General features: G+C 40.1%; 1 protein-coding gene across 4 annotated transcripts in view; it reads left to right on the top strand.

Moving 5' to 3' along the window:
- Positions 1–12,487, top strand: part of MIPEP (mitochondrial intermediate peptidase) — a 159,212-nt gene that overhangs the window by 35,058 nt on the left and 111,667 nt on the right. The gene's annotated exons all lie outside the window — the stretch shown is intronic.

Below are 12,487 nucleotides of genomic sequence, written 5' to 3'. Positions count from 1 at the left end.
TAAACAAATAGGAAATGGATGGCTCAGTCAAAAGAAAAAGAACAAAGAAAAAATTGTTTAAGAAAAAAATGAATTAAACAAACAGAAGTAGAGCAATATAAGTAACCTCTGCATATTGATCTCCCAGATTCTACAAAAAAAAAAAAAAAAAAAATTAGCCTGGCTAATTTTTTGTATTTTTAGTAGAGACGAGGTTTCACCGTGTTAGCCAGGATGATCTCGATCTGCTGAACTTGTGATCCGCCCACCTCGGCCTCCCAAAGTGCTGGGATTACAGGCGTGAGCCACCGCGCCTGGCCAATTACCAAGATTTTTCTATGTTTGCTTCATTTGTCTCTTTTTTCAGTTTTCTTCTTTCTTTGCTCTTCTTTTCCTTCTTCCTTCCCTCCCTGCTTTCCTTCCTTTCTCTTTTCTCATTACTAATGTACAGTCATGTGCCACTTAATGACAGGGATACATTCTGAGAAATGCATCGTGGGCTGGGCACAGTGGCTCATGCCTGTAATCCCAGCACTTTGGGAGGCTGAGGCGGGTGGATCACGAGGTCAGGAGTTCAAGACCAGCCTGGCCAACATAGTGAAACCCTGTCTCTACTAAAAATACAACAACAAAAAATTAGCCGGGCATGGCGGCAAGTGCCTGTAGTCCCAGCTACTTGGGAGGCTGAGGCAGGAGAATTGCTTGAACCCGGGAGGTGGAGGTTGCAGTAAGCAGAGATAATGACACTGCACTCCAGTTTGGGCAACAGAGTGAGACTTTGTCTCAGAAAAAAAAAAAAAAGCATCGTTAGGCACTTTTGTCATTGTATGATCTTAGAGTGCACTTACACAAACCTAAGGGTATAGCCTACACACACGCCTATGCTCTCTGGTATAGCCTGTCGCTCCTAGGCTACAAACCTGCACAGAATGTTACCATACTGAAAACTGTAGGCAGCTGCAACACATGATAAGTATATATGCATCTAAACATGGAAAAGGTATGGTGAAAATAGGTATAAAAGATAAAAAATGGTATACCTGTATAGGGCTCTTACCACAAATGGAGCTTGCAGGACTGGAAGTTGCTCTGGGTGAGTCTGTGAGTGAGTGGTGGTGAGTGTGAAGGCCTAGGACATTACCGTACACCATTATTGACTTTATAGACACTGTACACTTAGGCTACACTAAATTTATAGAAAGATATGGTTCTTTCTTCAATAATAAATTAACTTTTGCTTCCTGTAACTTTTTTTACCTTATAAACTTTTTAGTTTTTAAAAACTTTTTGATACTTTTGTAATAATATTTAGCTTGAAACACAAGCACATTGTATAGATGAACAACAATATTTTCTCTTTTTTTAATCCTTACTCTATAAACTTTTTTCTATTAAAAATTTTTTTTGTACTTTTTAAATTTTTTTGTTATAAACCAAGACACAAACATACACATTAGCCAAGGCTTACACAGGGTCAGAATCATCAACATCACTGTCTTCCACCTCCACATCTTGTCCTACTAGAAGGTCTGCAAGGGAAATAACAGGCATGGAGCTGCCATCCCCTGTGATAACAATGCCTTCTTCTGGAATCCCTCCTGAAGGACCGGCCTGAGGCTGTTTCACAGTTAACTTAGAAGGAGTACACCAAAATAGTGATAGAAAGTATAGTGTAGTTAATACATGAATCAGTAATATGGTCATTTATTAAGTGTTGTGTACTGTACCTAATTGTGTGTGTTAGGCTTTCATATGACTGGCGGCACAGTAGTTTTGTTTACACCAGCATCACCACAAACCTGTGAGTAATGCCTTGTACTCTGACATGACAGCTACAATGTTACTAGGTGATAGAAATTTTTCAGTTCCATTATCATCTCAAGGGACCACCCACTGTAGCATATGTGGTTCATTGCTGACAGAAGTGTTGTTACCTGGCTTGTGATTACTTTAAAGGAAATCCTAGCCCTCATGTCATCTCAGTCTTATACGTTTATTATGTACTTTTGAAAAGGATGAACATCTTCTTACATAACTCTTGTATCATTATTACCTAATAAAAATTTAATAGCAATTTGTTGGCATCATTTAATATCTAGTCTATATTCGTATTTCCTTGGTAGTATCAAATCAGCTTTTTTCCCCGTTAGCTTGTTAGAATTAGGACTCCAACAAAGCCTCCACATTCTCTTGGCTTTTCTGTCTCCTGTCTCTTACTTTAGAGCAATTCCCCATGCCTCATGCTCTTCTTACTCTCTTTTTTGTCATATTATCAGCAACAGTTGTTGAAGAGACCAGGCCATTTGTCCTACAGAATTTCTAACTTTCTGGATTTATCTGTGTGCTTCCTTGTGGCATCATTTCACTAGTTCCTCTCTTCCTATCATTCCTGTAAGCTGGATGTTACATATAATAACTCACTGTTAAACATTTCCCGTTTTTGGCATGGACACCCATAGGTGATGTTGTATACTTTGTGTCACATCACATCAAAAGATGTGAAATAGCTGAGCATGGTGACACATGTCTGTAATCCCAGCGACTTGGAGGCTCAGGTGGGAGGATCACTCGAATCCTGGAGTTCAAGGCTGCAGCAAGTTATGGTCATGCCACTGTACTCCAGCGTGGGCAACAGAGTGAGACTCCATCTCTTAAAAAAAAAAGAAAATTAAAAAAAAGACATGAAATATCAGTTGCCCACAGAGGGTGATGTGAAGATGGACCACTAGGTAGATTGATGCTGACAGGATCTCTGCAGTCTGCGATGAGGGTTTCCCTCTCAGCTAGAAAGGGATCTCTGTGGTGTTCCCAGCAACATGGAAATGTCCAGTTTTTCCTCAGTCATTTACCCAGTGGCTTTAACACCCATTGATAGTCTTCATCTGAGTCAGTCATTCTTTTTAATTACCAATTCTCAAAATAAGGATTTATTGTAATAGTTTTCTGAACTAGTGACAAATGAGTATTATCTGGCTTTCTCTTTGTAAAGCGTCATTATAAACTAATGGAATTCCATTGATTCATTGTGTTTCAGTCTATTACAGTCATTTTGGAGGGATGCCAAATCTGTCATAACTTGGCCAATTGCACTGAAAAGTCAGTCTTTTAGGAGCTTGTTGAGTGAGACTCAAAATACCTGTGTTTATTATTCCCAGTTGAGTTTGAACCACTTGCTGCATCCCTGCAGGACAGAAAAGGGGTGGTGATTTCTCCAGTTCTGGGCCAGTCGTGTCTGCAACCTGGGGAGAGGTCTGAGAATAGGGTCTGTTGCTGGACTCAGTAATTCAAAGAGGCTTGGAAAAGCTCCTTAGGCAAAGCAAATGGCTGTCTGGCCACTTTCCTTTCATCGTTTTCCACAAGGCTCTGGGGGAGAAAATCTCTGCCTATTTCCCTTTTGCTGCTGCCACTTGTTCCTTCTCACTAGGTTTTCATTCCTCCCTGTTCCAGGGCTAACCTGGATCCTCTCTCACGACATTTCCACAACTCCCATTCTGTTCTTCCTAAAGCAAGAGGCAGCACATAGGTGTTATTTTTGGTTATTCTTTCCTACTGTTCAATTTTAGACATGGCTGTTTGATTTCACATTTTGATACAGCTTAAGCTGAATGAGAGACCATTGCAATAGAGGTCTCCTTGCTGTAGTGAGATTTGGCCCCAGCCTCTATGGCGAGAATTCTGTCATCTAGTGGCACATTGGTGTGGTGTCATCTCTCACTGAAGTCAGGCCTACTGGTTTACTTTCCTAATCCCTAGGATGATGATGGAATTGTACTGTCTTTCTTTAGCTTTGATTTCTGTTAACCACAGTTTTCAGTGAACTGTGTTGCTGATCTGCACCATTAATGAAAATTATTTCCTGGTTGCCAGGAAGTTTGACTGGAGCAATTTTCTTGCCACTAGCTTCAGAAGTCAAGACAGAACCAAATTAGCAATGGTGGATTCTTTATAGAACAGGGGGAAAGGTCTTTTCAGTTCTATATAGTTACCTAAAGGGCAAACAGGTTTCCAGTATCATTCAGTTCCTTTACTGCTACCTTCTCTATGTAACCAAATAAAACAGTAGCTCTCCCTGTGGTTTTCAAGGCAGCATTTCAAAATGTCACCCAGCTATAACATGAGAATTATACTTAGTCATTCCTGATGCCAAAAATACAGTTTCATTTGCTTTTGATAAAGTTAAAAATAGTTTCTCTGACAGTACTGTCACGTGCTGTGTCCTTTACAGGTGTCCATTTTTTCCTCGCCCACACGTGCCCTCCGGCAGGCCATCTTGTTCATTCTGTAACAAGCCTCTGTGGGCATTTGCCATTTGGTGCACATGTTCTCTGTCACATTTGCTCTCACTCACTGAATAGAATAAGGTGAGACTGAAGCTGTGTTTACCTGTGTTTCAACCTGGATTCTCTGACTGTACTTGATTGTGTTTTATATTTTCACTAAGTTTGAGGCCATGGTGTTTGGACGTAATATCCAAGTTCTTTCTTTACCTTAATTCCAGGTGCGTCAGAGGTTGAAATATAAGTCTGACTCATAGAGTGTGCTTCATAAATACAGTGATCCATTGACTTTTTTAAAATTCAGTTTACAATGATGAATTCTTCAGTTGAAAGTCTCTTCTTGACTGATATTTCTGTGCTCATTTCAATCATAATTAGTGTTGGATGAAGATTAGATGAAGATTTTGATACATTACTAAATTCTATTGTTCTTAATTTAAAAGACCTAATTATACCATTGTATCATGTTGATAGTGGTATGTTCTGGTTCTTTGCTGAAAATCTGTAAACTCATATGTAACGTATTATAAACCAGAATAGCAGAGTGTTTATTGGACTTATTCAGTCACCTGTAGTGGATAACACAATTTTCTTCCACTTTCTTTCTTCAGAGGAATCAAAGGGTTCTAGAGATCCCTTACTTCTGGGTCCAGATCCATGGAATTCTTTACAAAAAATAGTCATAAAATTCTTGTAAAACTGTAGAAGAGTCTGAGGTGGTGACAGGGATGGCACTGAAGCCAAATCCTCAAAATGCATCTAAGCTCTGTCTCTGCTGGTTGTGGCTCTGCTGTGCTGTGAGGTCCTATATGCTGCCCATGGTGCTTTCCCACTGTCTTGGGTCTCTAGATGAGAGAGGAAAATGTTCTTATGTGTAGCATCTATGCAGATAAGGAAGCTGTGGATGGAGATGGTGCAGTTGGTTGTTCACAGGTCGGCCTCAGCCTCGGAGTGCTCTGTGGAGGCAGGCGGAGCCACATGATGAGCCTGGCGTGGAGGGCTGTACTGGGGCCTGTGACCACCCAAACACCCTCTGTGCATGTTTTTTCACTCCGTGTTGAAGACGTGAGCTGAGAGCACAGCAGTCACGCCCTCCTGACTGGCTGGTCATGTGGGACTGCTCCTTGGGGCCCCTCAGATGTGGGTTGGAGCTGCGGGAAACACCCTGTAGCTTTTTGAATCTCTTCCACCCTCTCTGGACCTCTCTCCTTCTGGCTTTTCTTCAGGAAGGAAGTAGCCTGCATTTGGTGAGAGTCACTGAGGGTGTGGAGAGGCATGTAGTCTCGCTCTGGATGGCTGAGGCAGCTGAGTGAGGACTAAGGCACTAGTGCTTGCTTGAGCTTGTCTGCCCCATTTGCTTGAATCCCCTTGGGCCTTTGCTGCCCTCTTTCTTCCCCTTTGAGTGCCCTCCCCCTCTTCTAGGAGCCTCATCTTTCCAGGTGTGCTCCAGATGCTGCCTCTTCTTTGTAGTTCTCTCTGTTCCTCCCATTCCCAGCTTCTCCCCTCTGCCAGGTGTAACTGACCACAGCCTCATCTTTGAGCCAATGCCTTGTTTGCAGTGCTCCTCTGCCCCTGATCATTTGGATTGGTCGTCATTATTGTTACAATGTGTTCATCTTTCCACACTGAGGAGTTGTCATGCAGGCACATGGCAGGTGATTAATGAAAGTTTACTGCATCTACACAGCTTCTTGACACAGTGTTGCATTTCTTTTTAGAGGTAAGGTCAGCTTTGGGGAATAGAAGGGAACTGGAATAGGAGTAGAAGAAGGGAACTGGAATAGAAGTAGAAACCGCTGGGTTTAGTCTTGTCCCTGTCCGTGTCTCTGTCTAACAGCAATAATAGTGGCTATAATTTACAGTGTGCCTGCTTTTCTCCAGGAACCATGCCAGGTTCATTGCATGTGTTTCTGTAATTGTTAATGGAGCCTGGAAAGTATTTCTACTTTACTGGTGAGGAAACTGAAGCTTCAGAAACCTAAGTAACTTGCTCAAAGCATGGAACCAATGAGAAATAGTATTTTCAAACCCAGGGCTCTTTCTTGTATTCCAGATTGCCTTAGACTGTCACAAGCCTCTTTGAGCCTGAGATTCCTCAAGTAAAACGAACAATAATTCTGGTAATAATTCTTGCTCCACCTGTCTCACAGAATCATGTAAGGAATAAGGAGATTCTTGATTCTTGATGTGAAAGTGCTTTGTAAATTGTGAAGCACCAAGACAATATAAGATAATATTATCTCAAACCACTATAGATCTTGCTTCACCAGTTATTCTAACTTTATCACAATCACCATCTCTTCCTTTGTATTAGCTTCAAACCCTTTGCCTGCAGACCTGCTAAGATATCTCTTATCTTACAACACAAATAATTACCCTTCTGTGACAGTTGGAGAGACTGTGGTACTATCTCATTTTTTTCCTGCCGAACTTCCCCCAGTCCTACTCTCTCCTGATGCCTCCTCTTTCTAATAGCTACAGTCTGGTTTATAGGCCTGTCAGTCTACCCAGCTAGTGTTTCCAGGTTATCAGCCACCTGCCAGCATGAAATTCAGTAATTTGTTTTACTGCTCAACATCCGTGATGTCTGTAGTTTTCTGTTTGGGTTTTTTTTTTTTTTTTAGCTTGGATTTGAGATCCTAATGTCTGCAGTTTTTGACGGCGCTTACCATGTCCAGTTTCTTAAAATTCTTTCTTCAACACATACCCTCAGACTTCCTGTTCTCTCCTTTTTTATCACCACACTCATTTCTCTTTTTACTTCTCTAAATTGATCGTTCTCAATCTTTGTTCACTGTTAGGCTGCCGTAGGAGTCAATGCAGGGATGTAGTGTTCTCATTGTGACCAGTAGCTCCTCACTCTTGAAAGCATTTTGGGAAATGTGTGTAAGAATGAATGATACAATTACTGTGCTTCCTTTAGTACTTGCTTTAACTTGTAACAGATATTTGTGAAAAACTTCAGTACCTCAGCCTAAACAAAGATGTGCCCTCCTGTTGATTTTTTTTCAACTTCCATGCTGTTATCATGCAGTTATAAAGGATGGTCTCAGGCCTTCTACTTAGTTGTTGTCGTAGCCTTGGGAAGGTTACTTACTGTCTTGTAAACCTGTTTTCTCCATTGTAACATAGGGTGATAGTATTACCTTAAAGGATCGTTTTTGCTGTTAAATGAGATATGTATAAAGGGCTTAGCCCACTGTCATAGTGAGTACTCACCAAATGTTAGTTACCATCATCATCATCATCATCATCATCATTTGGTAGTGATAGTTTTCTGTTTGTAGATTAAATTTAGGGAAAAATGGGCAACATATTTGCAATACAGGTCAAGCATTTCTAATCTGAAATGCTTCAAAATCCAAAACTTTTTGAGTGCCAACATGACACCACAAGTGGATCTCATGTGACAGATTGTCGTGAAAATACAGTTAAAATTTTGTTTCATGCACAAAATTATTTAAACTATTCTGTAAAATTACCTTCAAGCTATGTATATAAGGTGTATATGAAACAAATAAATTTCGTGTTTAGACATAGGTCACATCCCCAAGATATCTCATTATGTATATGCAAATTTTCCAAAATAGAAAAAAAAATCCAAAATCCAAAACATATCCCAAGCATTTTGGATAAGGGATACACAAACTATATTGAACTTCCTCTTGCTATAATAATCATGAATCTTTGCATTTTAAACTGACCTACATGTCACTGCCAGAATAATCTTTCTAAAGCACAGGATTTTGTCATGTCTCTCCTCTTCTTCCTTACTACTAATAGCAGCTATTCCCCCATTGTATGCATTCTGGGGAGATCCAGTAAATGTTGGCAAAATAAAGGGCATATCTCTATTCTTCTCCTCTCTGGTGCCTAGCAAAATTAAGAAAAAGAGCATCAATATATCTATATCTATATGTAACAACAAGACAGATCAGGAGGTCAAGGCAGGAGGAGGGGAATCAGTAAATATTATCTAAAATTGCTAAACCAATAAATAAATGTTTATTTTAAAACCAATAGAGGCCCGTATCTACCAAAAGTATCAAAATTAGGAGGCAGGAGAATCGCTTGAACCCAGCAGGTGGAGGTTGCAGTGAGCTGAGATCATGCCACTGCACGCCTGGGTGATAGAGCATGACTCCGTCTCAAAAAAAAAAAAAATTAAAAACAATAGAGAAACCACCAGAGAAGCTAAAATATAGACTATAAATATCACTAATATATCAAATTATTAGAAAGAAAAAGGAAATGCAGCACACATAGCTAAAGAAGGAAAATAAAGGAAGCATTAAAAGAAACGTAACAGAATTACATTGGCGAGAGTGAGAGCACTAGGTATTTTCATACACTGCAGGTAGGAATGTAAGTTAGAAACAGCTTTTTTTAGAGGATAATTTGGAAATACATATCAAAAAACTTAAGATCTTGTACTCTTTGCAGCAATGCCATTTCTTCAGTTTATCTTATGGATAGGCTTGTGTGGGTGTGACAAGGACATTTCACTATGGCATCACTTTAACAGATAAACTAACAGCAGCTTACCGTCAGTTAAAAGGAACAGAGGCAGACCAAGGCAGGGAAGTGAGCTCTGGGTGTGGCCTAACGGGATGCATTTTCTGTAAAAAAGTTAAAATCAATAATAAAACTGATGAAAAGTCTGGGTTCCTTTAATATCCCCATATGTGGGAAATTCCAAACGATGTCAGTGGTCGGATGCTTCCCCCATTGATGCTTCAGGCTCTCATTGACCTTGCCTCCTCTGCTCATGTACAACACAACAGGAGATGCATGAAATGAGCTTTGTCATGTGTTTGCTGTGGATGACTACACCCATGAAAGAAAACAGGCTAGAGCTTTATATACTAAACTGGAAAGTATTCCAAGTTATATTTTTATGAAAAATATATGTGTAAAAATACATATCATTGATATATTTTTATGTTAAATAAAATTGCGAGATAGTGTGAATGGTATGATTCTATTTGTGCCAAAGTAGGTTTATATATACATAAAGTTTACATGCATAAGCTTCTAAGAGTGTGCATAGGAAATGCCTGGAAGGATACACAAGATATTTACCTCTGGGGGTGGGCATAGTGAGCCAGGGGACAAGACAGTATACTTTTTGCCCATTGTTAATATTTTTGAGGTGTTTTTATTTTAAAACAGGCAGTTTAGAAATTCATTTGTTCCCAATCATTTTAGGGTAATATTGTAATATTATATGAACTTATATTCTATACTTAAATTTTTTTTCCAAGATAAATTGTTTCCTTGAATTTTGCCCAACACATAATGATTGTCATGGTCATTGGATAAGACAGTAAATATTTTTAGGTTATAGTTTAGTAAAATAAGCTGTGTTACTAGCTTTACTGTGTTTCTTTTCCATAAAAATAAATGTTCATTATAATCTTAAGAAGGGTAGAATTTTAATATGTAAAGTTTCTTTTTATTCTCCTTTATTTTTGTGTTTTTATTGTCTGGAAACAAAAAAATGAATTGCTTTTTATAACCAATTATAGTTTAAACTTTCTTGCCTTGGTAGTAGGTTCTATGGGAGGTTTCTGCTCTGGTAAGCTGTGATTCTCTATGGCTGCCTGCCTTTCTTTCCAGTTTTGGGGGCAGCAGTTTGCTCTGTGGCCTTGATTCTCTGCTGAATCTAAGAAGATTCTTGATTTTCAGCTTGTTCAGCTTCCTGCTTGTTAGGATGGAGTGGTGACTTTCAACCTCCTCATGTGCAGGAGTGGAAACCTCAAGCCTGGACCACTTCCTTTTATAGTTTATTTTCTCCCCTCTTTCCATGCACTCCTTTCTCTCAGTTCTTCAGTACCTCTGAACTGTTCTGTGTCTTCCTTCCCACCCCTCCCTCTGGTAGTTCAGGGGTCTGCCCTTTACCTTCTCTGCCCGCATCGCCCTTCCCTAATGGCCCTGTCTCCCTCTATGGCTCTAATATCTGTACAGTGAAGTCTCCTTGTTCTCCTTAGCTTTGGGTCCTGAGTGTCTGGTATCTCATGGGCACTTCACAGTCGGTTCCTCCAAAATGGAGTTTATTTTCTGTGAGCCCTCCATCCTCCTCCCATCATTGCACCTCACCCTCCTCTCTTCTCCCACAAACACACCCAGATTCCCCTCTTCCTTTTTTGTGTTCATTGTGCCGGCTGATTCAGTGACTCTACCATCCACTTATTTGTCCAAGCCAGAAACCTGAGTGTTATTCTAGATTGTTCTGTCTTTCTCATCACCCTCCAAATCCAATCACTCACACAGTCCTGAGACGTTTGCATCTCAAAGGAAAAACACATTCATCCCTGACCCCACTGCCCTCTGTCAGAGTTCACCCTCTGAAGCCTGGAAGTCTGTCCTCCTGTCAGCCCTCCCTGCCTCCTGCATTCCACCCTCCATGCTGTCCACTGTGCAGCATTCCAGAAAACATCAGATGCTCCCCTATGGCCTACAGAAGCTGTCTCCCAAATGGCATCTGTAAGCAATTCATTGAGAGTGTAGTCATAAAATATTAGAAATTCTATGTATATTTATTTTTCTTTATCTCAACTTATAAAAATGTCTGCTTTTCTTTTTGCAATGTGATAAAACAATACCACATGCATATACTTTATGAGTGTACTAATAGAAGGTTGAATACTCAAAAGTTATTTTAGTGTGCATTGGTGAGGAAGCTTAGAGGCCATGGCCTATGGTGCATGGTCCCAGTTCCTCAGCTTAGTGGACCAGGCCCTCTGTTTTCTGGCCCCTGCCTGCCTTTTCCAGACTCCGCTCCCATTCTTTCTACATTTATCCCTGCATTGGTAACTGCTTCATCTTTAACCACATCCTTTCTAGAAGTTACCAGGCTATTTTATGCCATCATACTTTAGTTATACTGTCGCTTCTGCCTAGAATTCCTATTATGATTCCCATTTTCCATTCCTCATCCCAGCCCTGCCTTGCAAAGTCTGATTCCTTTTTTTTTTTTTTTTTTTTTTGAGATGGAGAGTCTTGCTCTGTCGCCCAGGCTGGAGTGCAGTGGCACAATCGTGGCTCACTCAACCTCCGCCTCCTGGGTTCAAGCAATTCTCTGCCTCAGCCTCCCGAGTAGCTGGGATTACAGGCACCCGCCACCACACCCGGCTAATTTTTGTACTTTTAGTAGAGACGGGGTTTCACCATGTTGGCCAAACTGGTCTTGAACTCCTGACCTCATGATCCACCCACCTCAGCCTCCCAAAGTGCTGGGATTATAGGCGTGAGCCACAGCACCCGGCCGATTCTTTCTTGATTCCTATCCGAGAAGCTTTCCCTGGTGCTACTCTGCACTCCACAAGTAAAGTCATCATGCTCTCCTTTGCCCTCCCATTTTGCAGTGCTCATTCGTTCATGCTTCAGCACTGTCTGTTGAGCGCCAGCCGTGTGCCCACTGCACCAGGCCCAGGACACAGTGTAGTTGGTTCACTTCTCTGCCTCTTTCAGTGCCAGCTGCTTAGACACAAAGGCTCTTCATTCTTCTCTTCCAGCACCCCGCAGGTTTGCTGACAGCATGCTTGAGTGAACGAACCAGGGAGCGAGGGCACTGGATCATGAACGTCTCTTTCAACACTAGGATTCTGTTTAAAGAAAAATCAGTCAGAAATTAAGGTGTAAATTTGTGGATGTCCATAGCCAAAGTCTCATTTGTTGTGCAATTTATGTTCACTTACTAAACTCATTCATTTATTAGTAACTATGTTTTTATATTTTTATATATAAATTTGTTGTGGGGACTCATTTTATGGAACGAAGTGTTGTGCAGTTCTAGAATCACAAATAAAGCCAATTGAAAAAAAAATGTGTATTTTGGTAATCCTAAAAAGTAGACATATAATGAGAACCTACAATATTCTAGAGCCATTATTTTTGGCTATGGCTATATATTTTGGCTTGACTTAATGATTCAAATGTAAACATTCAAATCACGTATTTTGGATTTGCTTTGGTTTATATTGGAATATATAGAACAGAAAAAGTTATTTTTGGGTGAAGAATAATTCACCTTACTAGTTACGTTGTCTTTAATTTAAGATATCTAACTATAAAACAGATAAGATCTGATTATTTATATTGCAGGCATTTTTTTCATAAATGAATATTTTACTGGATGAGAACTTTAAATTCACTTAATGTGCCTCAGGATTTTTATTCATTTAATATTTATGTATATAGGTCACAAGTTTCTAGAATATAATTCATAA

Source organism: Homo sapiens, chromosome 13 (genome assembly GCF_000001405.40).
Source record: "Homo sapiens chromosome 13, GRCh38.p14 Primary Assembly".
NCBI classification, from domain to species: domain Eukaryota; kingdom Metazoa; phylum Chordata; class Mammalia; order Primates; family Hominidae; genus Homo; species Homo sapiens.
The sequence above is the reverse complement of the archived record's forward strand: the minus strand, read 5'-3'. Positions and strand labels throughout refer to the sequence as shown.